This window comes from Homo sapiens, chromosome 11 (genome assembly GCF_000001405.40).
Source record: "Homo sapiens chromosome 11, GRCh38.p14 Primary Assembly".
NCBI lineage: Eukaryota > Metazoa > Chordata > Mammalia > Primates > Hominidae > Homo > Homo sapiens.
In genome coordinates, this window is record NC_000011.10 from 131,996,739 (window position 1) to 132,013,880 (window position 17,142).

A 17,142-nucleotide genomic window follows, 5' to 3' on the forward strand; every position below is an offset into this window, starting at 1 on the left:
AAGGAGGAATCATTGCCAGTTCGGTGTCATTGCTGCCAGCCCCCTCTGAGGCACACCTGGCTCCCTGGGAGTGTGTTTATGCTCTGCCAGGACTCTCCCCAGCCTGCATTCTGAAGCATCTCCTTCCTTGCTCTGCCACATCCCCGCCCCTCTAGATGGAGGGAAACACTCCTGTAAATGGGAATTCACCCAATAGTTCATCCAAACATATCACTGGCTTCCTACCTTTCTCTCCTTCCCAGCCTGGACAACCCATAGCCTCCATGATCAATCACTTTATGAACATGGTCAGCTTCACCATGGCCTCTCCTGGGCTGGCTGCTAGGCTGGCCTAACAGCTGCAGCTGGACTCTACCCTGGGCATTTTAAAACACTGTTACCTCTGTTTCTTTGATATTCTCTGAGGTCTAAAGTCAGCATACATCACTTCTCCTGCTTGTTTGGGTTCTGTATGTAGGGGCTTGACAGCCAGAGTGGCTTTGCAGAAACTCATGCCCCTGGCCCACCCAGCCTCTCGCCCTGCCTGGAGGGCAGATTACCCCTCAGTGTGCTTCTGCTAGGAATGGCCATACTGCATCATTCCTGTTCCTCTGTCTATGACTTCTGCAGGATGACTCTGGCTTTTTCTGGGTACGTGCGGAACACTGGGCCAGGCTAATAAGTTTAGAAGAAGATTTAAGACTCCAGATCAAGGCACAGGATCACATTGTCTCAGTAATCGTGACTTGAAAGGACCCTCGATGGGCCTCAGCTAAGAGCTGGCATGGTGGTGGTGAGCATGCGGGCAGTGGGTTTGCAGGCATAGCACAGGCTGTGGCTGGATAAAAAGGTGTTCACACCATCATTGACAAATTTTCTGAACCATGTGGAACACTTGTAATGATCTGAACTGTGTTTCTCTCCATTTTCTTTTCCTTTTTATCTTTTCGCTCTCTTTCTTTTTTCTTCCTGGAATGCAGCTGTCACAATAATTGGAAGATGCCCTTGAAAAAGTGCTCTCGAGCCTGTGATTCCCTGGCAGCTTCATTTTTCATCTTTCCAATGAAGGTGGCATTTGCCCAGACCCTGTTAGCTATGAGGCTGCCTGTAGAACCTTCAACTACCATTGTGTGTGGTGAATAGTACTGGGGTTTTGGCATTTCAGTGCTTTGAACTGCTGAAGAACCCTAAAGCCAGGCTCATATGCACCTCTCCTCCCTCTCTCCCACCTCCCCTTGCTTCCTTTCCGCCCCTCCCCTCACTCCCTGGTTCTTCCACCCCAGGACCCACCTTTGCTCAAGGCAACCCCTCCCACCCCATGGTGTTCCCCTCCTCTTTCCTGGAGGCCTTGTAAATGTACAGACCATTTAGACTTTAAGACAGTGGGGCCACTTTTCATCTCAGGCCAGGCTGCTGCCTGGTTTTACGGGGTCATAAAAGTCCTGACAGGAGTCATAAAAGCCTCCAATTGCACTGCAGAAACCCTTGGAGTATATTTTAAGGGCCCCTGAGTTTTCATTTTGCTGCTTTTATGGGGACTCGTAAAAGCTGCGTGGAGTGAGCCCACTGATTGGCTGCTCAGCACGGAGGTAGTTAAAATTACAGCTTTAGACAAATTGTTCCAGTCCCAATAAATCAGTATCCGGCATGTGGCAGGGGGAAGGCTTCTAGCTCTGCTGCATCCTGGGCCCCCCTTGTCCTACCACACAGGCAAGGCTCTGCTTGGGGCCACCCTGGCCAGCCCTCCACCATTTCCTGAAGCCATTCTTTGCAAAGGGGATAGTACTTAACCAGCTGTTTTTATGCATTTTACCACGTAGCTGGTTGACTTTTTTTTAAATTTCCAAAAACCTGATCTTTAAAACCAGATTGACTTATTTTTCAATTCAATTGTTAGAGAGACACAATCTCATACTCCGTCGGTCACCCTGGCCACAGGTACTACAGACTACAGCCTGCTTTCTCCCCATTGGTCCCCACATCCCATCTCCCTATACATGGCCTTCTTGCCTTACCTTCTTTCTACTGTTGCCTTGGTATATCTGTTATACCCCTACAGTGGGCCAGTGCAGGGCAAGAATGATCGGTGGGGATGCCATTCTCAGGACCCATCCTAATTTCCCACTGGTTATGCCTGGCAGAGAACCATACCAGCGTGGGTATTATGGGAGACTGCTGTGTTTTGTGCCATTTCAACTTTTTAGGAGCTTGTGGCTCAAATATATCACCAGTCTGGCGGATTTCCAAGACACTGATTGGAGAAGCAGACATTGTTTTCTCTTCCCTTCTTTCCAGATCCAGAATCACTCAGCCCCAGCTGAACTGCCATGCTGACAACCTGAGGATCAAGCATACTCTTCATTTGTGATGTGGAAGTTTAACCATTACCATCGTGTGTGCTCTTCCTTCGCAGGTGGAGAAAGCTTTCAGGAGAGGCTCTGAGGGTGCAGAAGCAAGGAGGGGTCCCTGCAATGTGCTACTCCTGTTTGTGTGTCCGCCTCTGTTCCCATGGCAACCACCTCTTTCCCTTGCTATTTCTAAAAAGCACGTGTGCTTGTGGGAGTACCATTCTGAAAAAAATGATGCTTACTCCTCCCTTTCTGGATCTTAGCCAAGTCAATAATTCAAGCAGCACGAGGTATCTTAGTACTTGAGCAATGCCCGACTGATGTCAACTGTTAGGAGAGCCAACTGAAGTAGGGAGAACAGTTTGGGGTAAGAAAGGAAGAAAAGAAGGTACTGTCAAGCTGTGGGTTAGGAGAAGGCATTAGCCTGAGAAATAAGACCAAGATACATGTGAGGAAGACTCCACCACCATTAGTTCACTTTCAGAGTCATGGCTGGTAGATGCTCCCTTCCTTCCAGAGCAGGGAGGAAAAGGGACGCAGTCTTTGCTGCAAATTTCCTGCATAAGTTAGTGGAGAAAACAGGTTCTCTTCTGACATATGCCTCTGTTTTGAAGAGCCTTGTTCTTTTCTTAAATAAATGAACCAATCACAAAGGTTACAGGCTATGTGAGAGAAAAACACATCTTATTTCTGTCTTGCTCTAGTTTTATATAATTATTATATCAACTGTGGCTGATCAAAGCATTCATTAAAGAGAAACTATCTCTCCCATGCTTTTGTTACAGTTTGGAGAGATTTGACAGGCTTTATACATCTCTGGCTATATTTCCCTTTCTCTTTTTCACGGTTGATTTCGCTCTTCTTCCTCTCCTCCTCCCCTTCCTGCGTACTAGTGATTTCTAACATGACTTTTTTTCTTTTCTTTTTCTTTTTTCCCCTTCCACCTAGCCTAATCAAATCTCTCATAAGACATCAAGGGAACCCTGAACCAAAGCAACTCTTGGAGTTATATCGGTACATTCAGGTGAGCACAGGCTGACTTCCTGCCTCAGAGCAGCCCTCAGCCCACCTGGAAGCCAGGCAAGGCTTCTACTGCACACACTCCCAGACAGTCCCTGCCTTTCCCATTGTCTTTCTCAAGGGCTCTGATTTCTAGGCTGAGCTTACTGCCCTGTTCCAATAGCCTCCTCCCAAAGATAGGCACATATCTGACACTCCTTTGTCAATCCTTGGGGGAGTTCTGTGGCCAGCAAAAGATTTCCATATCATCAACTCCTTGTCTCTTTGCAAACGCTCATCTTTCAATGTGGTTTTTGCTACTCCTTCTTTCATTATCCTCATGCTATTCTTCCTGAGGAGGTTGTTTCAGTTTATTTACCATAAGCATGTTCCCAAGGGGATTTCAGCCATGCAAATGAATTACGGAGGATATGACTTCAATGTGCAAAGCATTTGGGGTGAATGTGTACAAGTACATTTTTCATATTATGTGCCCCTCTATCCCATTGTGTGGCATGATTTTATCTCACTCTGTTCTGGACTAATGACAGACTCCTTCAGACATTTATAAAAGTCTGCTTTGATCGTTCCTCTATATTTCATCTTGCATTTATTTGTTCACTCCCTCAACACACAAAGCATAGACTATGTGCTGAGTACCATGCTGGTACCAGGGGACATGGAGATAAATAAGAAATAGTCTCTGTCATCTTGGAATTCATAAACAAATAGAACAGGAAAAAATGTAATCAATTACTTACTAAACACTGTGGAATATGCAATGATATATCAGGAGGAAGTAAGGGTAAGAAATGACTTTTTACTGGCGTTTATCTTACCTGGATTTTTCTCAGGAGGAAAGAATAAGGAAAGGGCATTCCAGGTAGATAAAGCGAAGTAGGAAATTCCCAGAAACATAGAACAGCGTGGTATGTGTGTAGCATTCATAGTCATCTGCCAAAGAAGAATAGGTGGGAAAGGTCTTGAGCAGAAAAGAGTCTGAAGAGGAATCCAGGAAGCATATTGTGAGGAGCGTTTGTTTTGCAGGTTGCAAAACATGAGTTTGAGGTTGCTAAAGAAAAAAAGCGGCATTGTATGATTCCATATCAAAGTAGGGCATTGTGGTCCCTTTAAGTTTAGCAAATACTGAATGCCTGCTGTGTACAAGAGTATACTGGGTGTAGAAGAAATACAAAGATGATGCAAAGATGGTATCTTAGTACCACTTTTTAAGGATAAGAAATTTTCTTGTATACATAGGGCATAAACATATATAAAGGCTGATTTATAGTAAGCTGTTGTGTGAGGCCATTCTGGCATTACTATAAAGATATACCTGAAATTGGATAATGTATAAAGAAAAGAGGTTTAATTGGCTCCTGTTTCTTCAGGCTGTACAGGAAGCAAAGCATGGCACCGGCATCTGCTTGGCTTCTGGGGAGGCCTCAGGAAGCTTTCAACCATGGCAAAAGGTAAAGGGGAAGCAAGTATCTCCACATGGTGAGAGAGGAAGCAGGAGAGAGAGGGTGGGGAGGAGGTACCATACCCCAACAACAGATCTCATGAGGACAGCCCGAAGCTCTGAGGGATCTCCCCCCATTACCCAAACATCTCCCACCAGGCCCTATGCCAAACACTGGGGATTGTAATTCAGCATAAGATTTGGCAGGGACATGTATTCAAACTATATCATGCATATACACACAGACAGGCACACACACACACACACACACACATACACACAATCGGTCAACAGTGTAAAATGAGATGACAAAACCATACTTGAGCAATTGCCAAATGATATTAAGGACAAACAATGATGGATGTAGAGGAGAGTGTAATTAGACAGGTATGGATGGCCAAGGAAAGCTGCAGAGAGGAGGCGAATGAGTGGATAAGGAGAATGGGTAAGATATGGAGAGGTGAAGCCTCATGTGTAGAAAAACTTGAATAAAAGCAATGGCAGGGACAGCCAAAGAGGAATCAGAATCAGTTAATGAATTAGGCTCACAGGGGTGGAGAGTTGATGCTGTCCATGGCAACCGGGGCTGGAAATTATGCTGCCTGAAGAGGGTGGAGGCTCTTCAAATGTCCGATTAAAGGTATTGGACTTTTCTCCATTGGCAACAGAGAGTCACTGAAGGTTTTGAATAGGGAAGTGACTTGGTATTTGGCTGGACTTGTCTTGTGAGCTATTTGTGGCAGCTTTACTGTACAAAAGCGATGAAATTTAATAATTATTTAGTTATTTGGAACATTAATATGCTGGTGTATCATATATTTTAATAAGAATTCAGAAATGGGAGTTTTCTAATAAGCAACTGAGTTGGGAAGGTAACAGAAGGGGAAATTTTGGTTGAATAGGATAAGAATGAGAATTTTGAGTGTCAGTGATCAACAATTAACCCTACGTCTCAATTCATCATAAGCAAATACAATTACTACTCTGCAAATACTATGTAGAAGAATGAAATGATGTGTTGGTGTCTGTCCCCCAAATTGGAGGCTTCTGGCCATTGCTTGAATAACTTTCTGCCTCTAGTATCCCCAAACTTATGTTTTGTTTTTTCTTTTTCTCTTAGTATCCATGCTTCTCCTGAATCATTCCTCTCGTTAGGAATGTCAGTCTACTAAATTTTGTGGCAATACAATGCCTGGGTTTGAATTCAAGTTCTGCCACTTCCTTACTCTGTCTCTTTATCAATAAACTCATTGGGAAAAGTGGAGGAAATCATAGTAACGATTTATTAAAGTTGAAGATTGAGTTTTATACATTTAAAGTCCTAGAACAAAGCCTGCACATAGCAAGCTCTTAGCCAATGTTAGCAGCCATTATTACTGTTTACTGTTAATAACAGAAATTACTATTAAAAAAGAGGAAACAGGAAAAACCTTTGTCTTCAAGAAGCTTTTACTGTCCGCCTGTCAAAGTTCCTGAGCAGCAGCTGATTTCTGGCTTAGAAGTTAGGGTTAGGAAAGTAACTAGTGAGCGCACTAAACAGTAAGATGCGCTGCCACAGTTGTGTGTGTAATTGACTTTTATAGTCAATTCTGCTTATATTTCCTCCTTCACCCTAATGCTAGCCCGGTTCTGAGCCAGAGTTATTTCGCTCTGCCAGTGGTGCACTTCAGAAACACCTGGAGGCTTGTTGAATCCGGATTCCTCCACCCACACCCTTAGAGTTTTTTTTTCTTTTTTTTTTTTGACAGGTTATTTGTTGCCCAGGTTGGAGTGCAGTGACGCAATCACAGCTTACTGCAGCCTCAACCTCCTGGGCTCAAATGATCCTCACACCTCAGCCTCCCTAGTAGCTGGGACCACAGGTGTGCACCACTATGTCTGGCTAATTTTTAAATTTTATGTAGAGACAGACTGTCCTTATATTTCCCAGGCTGCTCTTGAGTTCCTGGGCTCAAGCGATCCTTCTGGCTCAGACCTCCAATGTGCTGGGATTATAAGCATTAGCCACTGCGCCTGGCCCATGATTTGCATTTTTAACAAGTTCCTGGGTAAAACTGATCCTTGTGGTCTGGGGACCACACTTTGAGAATGTGCTTTCAGCTCAGCTCTGTTGTTCACTCAAGAAGAAAAGGCTTTTCCTGGTAGGTCTGTCTGTAGCTCAATCACATGTCCCACATGGAGCCCACTCTTTCCCATGGTACAAAACCCTCCTTAATTGCCTCCTTGGAATCTACACAGAGAAATCCCTGAGCTTTACTTTTTCTGGACCTGCCACTTACAGAACCAGCTTCATTGAGATGTTGTTTAAAATTGATTTCTCACCTAGCCACACAGATTATCTAAAAGGTCAAGATTCTCATGTAGACTTCTTTTTGAACATTCTTTAGCCACTCGATGGCCCAGAGCCCCATCCTCATTGTTCAGGTTTCATCGTCTCCTTAATCAACCATTAGCATAATGTATTAGCATATCTATAGCACAATTATATTTTGATTGCTGTGGTCCCAGTCAGACTAAAGGCTGCCTTCAACCTAGATATAAATAATTTAGAATGTTTATACCAAAGGGAATTATAGGGGAGGGAAGGGAAGAAAGGAAAGAGAATATTTGTGTGTGTCAGGGGAATGAGGGGGGCATTGGGAGAGTAAAGATGGTGGCAAAAGGTAACTTAGGTTGCCACTTTTTACCACAACACTTTTCTAGGCTATTCTCAATAAGAAAATGTGAATTATATATATTCAAAATACAGATACCATTTTGAATTGCTTTAAATCCACTCCTGCCTTTAATCTCATTACATCTGTCAAAATATGTCTCATTTACTAAGTAAAAAGTAGAAGCTGGTTTCCAGCACCTCTTTCTTTATTATAGCCTGATCCCTGTGCAAATGCATTTTCCTGTGGTTCATCTTTGAAAGATCTCTCTTCTCTTGTCTGGTTAACTTCCTCAATGACCATTGATATCTTTGTGCTACTTTATTGTCCACTTGGAAACCTGATTTCCCTTTATTAGTGTCCTCTGTAATAGGTTAGCAGAAATCTTATATGGTTCCAAAGAAGTTTCTCTCTCTTTCTCTCTTTCTCTCTCTCTCTCTCTCTCTCTCTCTCTCACACACACACACACACACAACACACACACACACACATAGACACATACACAGGTGCATTGTATCAGCTGGAACATCAGCATATGTGTGGTAGGATCACAATCATTCAGAGCTTCTGATGTTCATGGTACCTAGGGGATTGATTCAGCTTTCAAGGAGCTGTGGACAGTAAGATTAAAAGAACTGCTCTCCTTGGGGACTTTTAAGTAATGACATTATTGGTAGTCCTTTGAGCAGCATGGAGAGATGTTTGAAATATGAAATTGCTGACAGTTTTAATAGTTGCATTTAGAATGGATGATATTTGCAAAAATTGCTACTTCTTTACCTTACCACGCAGAATGACAACGGGATGCTAGGACTAAGCCAACTTCAGTATTCTTCTGCAAGTGATGTGAAAACGTTATAGTTGATGGCTCAGGATCAGTGCAGGGATGGTAAAGGGGCAGAGGATGGCACTATGAAATCATAGTATTGACACAGCTGGTCATTAGATTAAGCCTAGTAAGGGAGTCTAAAAAAATATCACTCTCCAGGTCCCATGCATGGAGATTGTCATTCTGCACCTCTGGGGATGGAATCCCATCAGCTGAGTGTGATAGCTGGCCAGAATTGAGTAGTTTGGGTTTAGATGGTGTCAGAAAGACTGGAGAATAAATCTTCTCTTGGGTGATGAATATCTACAAAACCTTAGGTAAGACACATTTTCTGAGTCTCAGTTTCCTTATTCTGTGGACATTGTCTTTACTGGATGGTAGACGACTTGAAGGCAGGAGCTCTGTTTTCTCTTTGTCATCAGCTACTTGCATTGTGGCAGACAGATAGATAGTAGGACCCTAGTTAAATGGTTTGGAATAAATGATTGAATGAGTGAAAGATGAATGAATGAATGTTGGAAGGAAGGGATATATGAATGATATCTCATCAATTTGTTGTGTGTATTAAATGAGGTAATTTTATGTATTACTCCTGACAGATAGTGGGGATTCTAAGAAGTTTCCATCTCCCTTTTCCATTTTCATATCCTACCATCCAACATGCTAATTGTGTGGTGTTGTTTTCATATTTCTATCTCTTCCTTTTCTCTTTTTGAGAGAGGAAAGAGGTGCTCAGTCCTTATTCCTCCCATTTTCTGTTTCACCTGCATCTGCCCACAGCAGTTTCCTTAGCATACATTATTAGCTCACCTAGACTTAACAAACTACCTTTCTAACTCAAATCCCTCCTGTTTCCCTAAAGAAAATGCTTCTTTTTTGTTAGAAAATTTTAAAACAACAATAACCTAGGTTTTGAAGAAATAAAAGGTAAAGATTTTAACCACATTTGCGTGTTTCAATTATTAGTGTTTTCCCTGTGGCCCATTCATGTGGATAAGAGACATCTCTGCATTATTATCTTGTCAGAAATACAGCCCCTTTCCCTTCCCCTCATCTGATTAGGCATGCTTCTCTTTGGAAGCCTCATCCCATTTGGCTAATGCATCTTGACAACTCCTTTAATAAGAGTGCTTGGTGTTCGCATTCAAGGATGTGTAGGAGTTGACAGAAATCTACCTTGTAATCTTTCCATGGCTTGAAAATAAAACCCAGGGAGACCTAGCACCCGCATCTCTCAACTCAAAAATGGCGAGAAAGCTTGAGGGGAGAGGGATGGCCATTGATTTAACAGAAACAGTTTTATTTGTTTGTGGTTTTTTTCCCTTCCTTCTGTGTGAAAAAGCTAGCAGAGGGAGGGAAAATTTGGGAAGCAGAAAATGTTTCAATCTACATAAAAAAGAGGAAAATAATAACCCAACAATGAGAAGAGCCAAGAGAATATGAGAAGGCAGCCTCTTTTTGAAATAGATTAAAGGCTTTATTGCAAGAACATCGTAGGACAAAGGTGTCTCTGCAGGACTGGGAACTTCAGCAAAGCACATAAAACCTCATTCTCAGACTTAAAGACAGCCCTGGAAGAGGCAGTCCACAAAGCAGTGTGTGCCTAGGCACCTATTCTAAATTCAGGAGAGCTCTGCAGTCATTTCCTTTGGGGGTGAGGCTTATGAGGCTGGTGTAATCAGGGATATAACTAGGAATCTCCTCCAAAGAATGAGTGTAGACCAGGTCAAACAGAACTATTGTGATGCATTTGTCCTCCACAGTATCAGGATCTCAAGCCCCTTGTCCTCTGTGGTTATAGAATAGCCTGGGGCACCACTGTGGGCCTATGGTGATCATGGGTGCCACTTCCTGAGCACTTCCTGTGGTAGGATTGTACTTCCTCCTTTGTGGAGAAGAACATTGACTAGTGCTGGCCAATGAGAGGCAGCTACAAATGACGTGTGTCACCCTGTGGGTGGGCTAAACATTTTACTTCCAGTGCGAGACCCTCCTGGGCACTCTCTTTCCTCTGTCATGACATCCAGTGACTTTCAAGACTGTGACTGCCCCACTGGGGGTTCCTGAGTGAATGGATGAAAAAAGCTCCTCCCTGTCACACCTGTGATGGATGTCTACTGTGAATGAGAAATAGTCACTGAGACTTTCATGTTGTTGACGATTTCGGCATAACCTACTTATCCTGACTGTTACAGAGTCTGATCTTAATGCAAAACCTAGCCAGGAATTGAAGGCTTTTATTCAGTGGCCCTTTATTTTTGAAGGTGAACATTCTACAGGGTAGTTTGGATAAGTGGCAATAAGGGAATGGTGCTCATTCATCCCAGGATCACTTAAGAGCACAAATAAGACCGCCAGCTGATGCCAGGCTGCACAGCAGGACACTAGGTCACTAGGAGAGTCAGGAGGGCATAACTCCTGCTGAGCGTTACGAAGCACAGCAACTTGTGATTTGGGGCCTGTCAACAGCTATGGACTCAGTAAACAGCCCTGAAATGTGAGGTTTCCAGGCAGATATTTCTGATGCTCTCTTTTGTTGCAGCCTGCTTTGCTTTATTTATGCAAAGAGTGTATCCCTGGGGGAAAAATCAAGTCATATCATAAGTGCATCAGAGAAGCTTACTATTTAAAGAAATCTATGGTGAATCCTTTTGTGAAGGAATAATCATCCACCTGATTTGCATTTGCTTTGTGAATTGTGTTTGTGTATCAGGTTTTATGAGTTTGGGGCACATCATAATTCAGAGCATCAAACATAGAGTCCAACAGAGCTGGATTTTCATCTCAGGTCAGCTAAAACACAAAGCTTGCCTTTGTCCTGGGGGACAAAGTGAGGGGCCAACTGAGGATGAATTTTTTGCCTAGAAATCTCTGCAACTTGAGAATGGAGGTAAAAGGTAGATGGTGAGAATAACCCTGGATGGAGTTAGAGTTGATATAAGGGAGGTCAAAGAAGGGAAGGGCTATGAGGAGTAGAAAGGAAAATGTTAGGTGGGCGTTGCTTCGATTTTAGAATAAGCCTTATACTGTAACAAGGAATTTGGGGAAATACACCTAGTCCTCTGTTCAGGCCCCAAATGAAGCAAGGCAAGAGGGGGCACAGTGTGACTAAGCAGGGAATTGGGGTTAGCTCTTGACTCCACTGTATGGGGATCATGACGTGGTGGACTGTTGTCTAAGACAGATGAGAGAACAAACGCTCACTTTACCCCTCGCCACTTATGGGATGCATCTCTTTGGACAAGGTTTGCATTTGTAAAATTCTATTGTCCTGACTTTAATCTTTCTGAGTCTTGGTTTTCCATCCATATGCTTAAGGTCTTTGTCCCTCCTGGCAGGACTTGTGTGAGGATCAAGAGACCATGAATGTCAAGTGCCTAATATAGCTGACCTCAGATAGGACTCAGGAAATTAAAACTATCAATATTGCTGACTATGTATTTACTTTTTTCTAAGATTCTGAATGTTAAAGCGTTAGTATAGTGTGGAGTCTATGACAGGTTTTTATAGATATTTGTGGAAAGAATGAACCATCTAGTAGCCTAAGAAGTGTGGGGAATGAACACCAGATGTGAGTGCTGAGGGGTTTGGAGCCTCTGTCTGTGAATCTTATACCTTTCCTCCCTGGCATTACAAATGCTCCCCATTTCCCCCTGAAAACATGTCTGTTTCACAGAATCCACATTGCTCACAAAGATTAAAATCATTTTCAATGACTCCATGGTTTTTGTTTTTTTTGTCCTTTCTGTCTTGCCACATCAGGTTATCTGACCGTTTGATTTCAGCAACTCAAAGAGCTCTTCATTTTTTTCCTTTCTTTCCTTTTTTCTTTTCCTTTTCTTTCTTTCCTTGTTTTCTTTTTTTTTTTTCCTGTTGTCAGAGCCCTAGGAGTTTCTTTTCCCTTTTTAATTAAGAGCGAATGAAGGTAACAAAATGTTTTATAACTGGAGAGAATTCACCAGCAGGACACCAAGGCAGAAATCCACATCCTGAAAGAAAGGCAGGCAGACACCAGATCAGCGCTGTGGGGAATGTGTCCTGCACACACTCTGCTTCCCGCTGACTGATGGTCCAGCCCTCCCTCTGCCATCAGCCTGGAAGCTTTACCTCTGGCAGAAGTCTCCCTGTCTTTTGTTAGGAAAAGCTACAATTGGAAACCTGCTTTTCTAAAGCATTTTTAAACACACAGTGTGCTCCCCTGAAATACGCCTGTGCCTGCAAGAGTCCTGTAAGTTAATTCCTGCCACCCAGGGAAGTGTCCTAATTTTCCCTGACTTTTACTGACCTACTCCTCATTGTGTACCTGGCTGTCTTTAAGCTGGGGGACAGTTTGAGATTGGAACAGCAAATTTCATGGGAGAGCCTGTCAGATGGGTATGTATGTGCCGATGTAAAGCCAGATTGAGCCTAAGAGAAAGAGTGTGAGCAGAAGAAAGGGAATAAAATCCTACTGCAGACAGTGATGTGGAAAGGGATGTCGTTTCTGGCACTGACACTGTGCCTGGTCCAGTGCCCTGGCTGTGCCATCCCGGCAGCTCTGAGGCTTTCTGACAGTCCTGAGAATGGAGCACAAGCCCCCAGGGACGTCTTTGGAGCCCTAATTCCGGTGCACTGCTTTCGTGCACTCTGTTTTGCACGCCACACTTGGAAGATGGCATTATAAGACTGCTTCCAAGGAAAGCGTGCTTTTATTAAACTCCTAGACCAAATTGCCTCCCTGTTGACCTCTTTCTTTGTCATGAGACGTGATGGGTTATTACATTTGTGATTAAAAACATCCGTCATCGGTGTGTTTTGCCTTTTCAATTTTGTAGGAAGGTGATCATGATGCTGGTTCTCAGAGGAACAGAAGGATGGAGAAGAGAGACCATATTTTGTGGTTTAAGGAACTTGCCCCTCAGAGAAGGTTACCCTTTTTTTCTGAGTTCACTGCTGAATGTGTGGCTCAAATGGCCGTGGAAGGTCACTGAGCTGACCGAATACACGTTATATCAATTCTGCACAGCATGAGTGAAGAAAATGGACAGACAATTTCTTAAGTCACTAGATTGTAGAGATCAATACAGATAATTTTGGAATTTTTAGAAAATCCAAACACTTATCCTCACCACGGCTGTTCATGTAATACCTCAGCAGCTTCTTGCTTCATATTAGCTTTGATCTTACTCTCTATTTGGAACTAAGTGTTTCAGAAATGATTTCTCCCTCCTATAAAACATACTGAACACAGAACTGAGTTCTTCAAACTCAACTTATGTATGACAAAGCTATAGCCCCAGCTTTTAGCTCACCTTGGTAACTCCGATGGTGGAGAAGACAAGGATAAGGATTTCTTTTCTCTGAGGCTAGACTGGTGAAGTTATAGGATGACAGATACAGTCTAAAGGTCAGTCCCTGGCTGCTCTTCCCAGAGACCCTCTGCCTCATACCTTCCCAGCCTCTAGTCTCCAGTCTGCTCGGACCTCTGCTATACTTCTTTGTGCTAGAAGAGTGATTTGGTCATGTCTCTCCTCTCCTTGAGCAAACCTTAATGAATTTTCCCTCCAATGGCCAGTCCTGTCTTATCTTGGCATTTGAAGCTCTTTATTAAGTGACCATTTCTACTGTCTTTTTTTTTTTCCTCCATTCTCTTCTGCTAGGCTCTAATATGAACTCTTTACGGCAACTGATGCTATCACAGAAGGACCTCTTGTACTTGCTCCAGTCTGGGGACTTGGTCAGGTGTCTTTCTGTCTCCCTGTAAAGCGTTTCCACTCTGCATTTTTGCCTATCACAATTGTACAGTTTCCTGAAGGCACAGCTGTGTGCTATCTCTCTTAAGAATTCCCTGATGGAAGTATCATTTATTGGTGCCAAGTGACTGAGGTTATATTCGCAGCTCTTGGACAGGGCTCCTAGACTCCCCTTAGTCTCAGTTACTTATCTGTGTATAACCACTAAGCACCCTTCATCTTACTCCCATAAAATGAAAGTGACCTGATATTTACATGTCGATCTCGTATGGGCATTATCACAATGTATGCTCTGTGGCATTGAGTTGTTTTCATACATGTTAATTATAAGCACCAGCAAGCATGGAACCATTTCTTATATGATTAATATCCCTTATAACAATTAGGTCTACAATTTGTAAAATTTGTTCCATTAAATATGTGATTGAAGAACTGAATAAAGTCACCTCTAGTGAAAATTCTACTTGATATTGATACTATGATTTGAAAAATAATAAACTGAGAGGGGAACTCCTTGACAACAGTTTACTGCACTGTTTCTAACATTTAACTTGAAGTATAAATAAATGGATTTTAGCAAATCAACCTCTCTTTGAAGTTAACTGAATGCTAACTGTGTTCTGGAATGAAAGGGTTCATGCATCTCTGTTAAGAAATGGAAAACAGATAATGGCAGCGGAGTCAATAAAGTCAGTGCCTCATCTTGAACTGGGTGAGCGGTCCCTAAACATTTGTTACGTAGTTTCTTCAGCAGACTGTTTATGTCTAATGTGTTCTTTTTTTCTTAAAAGAAAAGGATATTTGCATTTTTGATTTACAATTTTATTACTTACTGTGTACCTGACCTTTACAAGCATTATCCAAATTAATTCTTATAACAATTCTATGACTTAGAGTTATAATGCACATTTTAAAGTTGAGAAAACTAAGGGTGTAAGTAAGTTGGCCTAGGTCACACAGCTAAGTGAGCTGTAGAGCAATTATTCCAACCCAAGCCCATCTGATTCCAAAATTTAGGTTCTCTCTAGTACCTCAAGTGGTTTCTACATGTGCTCTACATTTTCCTGCTTCTTGGAATCTGTGCATGCTCATTCCTAAGCTTGTAATACCTTTTCCCTATTCTGTATCTCAGAAGGTGTCCTTCTTTATTCCCAATCCCTGTTCTCTCTCAGTTTGGAAGTAATTGTTCTTTTATTGCAAATTCTCACAGCACTTAGATTTTTATCTCAAACTCTTTAATGTAATTAATTGTTTTCATCCATATAATATAGTCATGTGTACCTTTATGTACCACATCTTCCTTTCCACATAGGAAGCTCCTTGAGGGCAGAAGCGATGCTCTTTGATTCATTTTGTATTCTTCAAGATGGACTAGAACAGCGTAGTCACCTTGTAAACCTATGTGGTGGATAGGGTCGGGGAAGAAAGGAAAAAGAGGGAAAAGGAAGAGAGGAAGAAATCAAAGAACGATAGAAGACAGTATATAATTCAGTGTTAAATTGTGTGGTTCAGACTAATTATAAATTCCTTTAAAAGAAATGCAATTTTATTACTTTCAAGAACATAAAGTTAATTAATGGCTAACAAAATGTTATCAAGTAGCTGTCTTGTCATTCCCACTGTAATTAATCAATGCTTTTGGAATGAAAAAGTGGACTTAAGCCTAGCCCATCTCCAGATTATTGAGAATTTTAAATTAGCACAGTCTGAAATAATGAGGTTATCGCCACCCCTTGGTTAAACAGACGTCTGAAGATGAAAGCATATGATGATAAAGAAGACGTATAAGAAATTTCTAAACATGTTTTTTCTCTTTAGTGGTACTAATAAGGGATTCCTTAATTGTTAAAGCGCATACAGGACCTTATTTGCCAAAAATTGTAGCACATTTGCTTAGAATTTTGAGTTATTTCTTAATTCCTCTTCTCTTGATTAATTTAATGGCTCATTAATTCATTTTTTAAAAAAGAGAATCTAAAAAGGTTATTTAGAACAAGCTAAATCCATACACAGTAGTGAAGGTGCTGTAGCCCATCACAGAGTGGGTGGGAAGAAGGGGCTAGAAGAAGGATCTAGAAGTGGTAGGAGAGGATGCAGGAGCCATTCAGAATACGCATCAGGAAGAGGAAGCACTGCTGAGTAGCCTCAGGTTTCTTTCTTAGGTGACTTTTCGGAGAAGATTAGGGAATGTAGAGGGATAGAGAGATTTGTGAGGAAGAATATGGAGTTAATTTTGGACTTACTGTGTTTGGGATGCTTATGAGATATCTAATTGGAATTGTTCATGGAGCAGTTCACATACAGATCTGATGCTCAGAAGTGAGGGTTACTTGAAGATAACCAATTTTCGAATCACTGACATGTAGTAAAGGAAGATTTTCACAAGGGGCAGCTGTGTGAAGTCAACAGAGACTAGAACAAGGAAGGGTACCATGAAGATTGAAGGTAAGGTTCAGAAGAAGTTGAAGAAATTGTTTTGAGAAGTGATATCCAAAGAAGTCAGAGAACCACTTGAAGAGTGGTGTCAAGAAACCTAAAAGAAAAGATTTTTAAGAGGGGACCTATTAAATAAGAACTGAAAAGAAGCCGTTAAATGTTGTGCTTAGAGAGTCACTGATGCTGGCAGCTTATCATCCTAGTGGAAAGGAAGCCTGACTGGAGTTGGTTGTGAAGGAAGAAGTGAGAAAGTAGCGATGTCTGTCATAGACCATTCTTTAAAGAAACATAGCAGTTAAAAGAGGTAGCTAGTGGAGGACTTGGGAGAAACAAGGAGATTTGGGAGTAAACAGAATCTAGAAAAGTGGTGGTAAGATCAGTCTTGAACAGGGACAGCACCAACTCCCCTGCTGAGAGAAGAGTGGCATAGTCCTGAATGTTTATGACTTCAAGATAGATCTGATGAAGAGTTCAGCTCACTATTTCATTTGTATTAGCTTTGTTTAGGCATATTTTATGGACCATAAAATTTATCCACTTTAAGTGTACAATTCAATAATTTTTGTGTTTTTTGTTGATACATAGTATTTGTTCATGTTTATGTGATACATATGATATTTTGTTACGTGTATAGAATGTGTAGTGATCAAGTTGGGGGGTTTAGGATAGCCGTCACTTGGGTATTTATCATTTCTGTGTGTTG

At 42.0% G+C, this 17,142-nt stretch overlaps 1 protein-coding gene across 41 annotated transcripts in view, besides 1 other annotated feature; it reads left to right on the top strand.

The window, feature by feature from the left end:
• Positions 1–17,142, top strand: part of NTM (neurotrimin) — a 966,208-nt gene that overhangs the window by 626,124 nt on the left and 322,942 nt on the right. For 2 of the 41 annotated variants that reach the window (NR_170354.1, NM_001386965.1), the window contains exons 3-4: positions 3,276–3,351; positions 4,718–4,798. The exons of 37 other annotated variants lie outside the window; for them this stretch is intronic. Coding sequence is in view for 2 of the 4 variants with exons in the window: in NM_001386965.1 (NP_001373894.1) it covers positions 4,737–4,798 (62 nt within the window). In the remaining 2 variants the exon portion in view is untranslated. The remainder of the gene's footprint in view (positions 1–3,275; positions 3,352–4,717; positions 4,799–17,142) is intronic. 2 more of the 41 variants (NR_170346.1, NM_001386964.1) reach the window with 1 other exon arrangement.
• Positions 1,317–1,745: an enhancer, noted in NCBI's record as "VISTA enhancer hs335". NCBI's record gives its function as "enhancer in: limb[5/7]" and the evidence as "EXISTENCE:transgenic organism evidence [ECO:0001131][PMID:17130149]".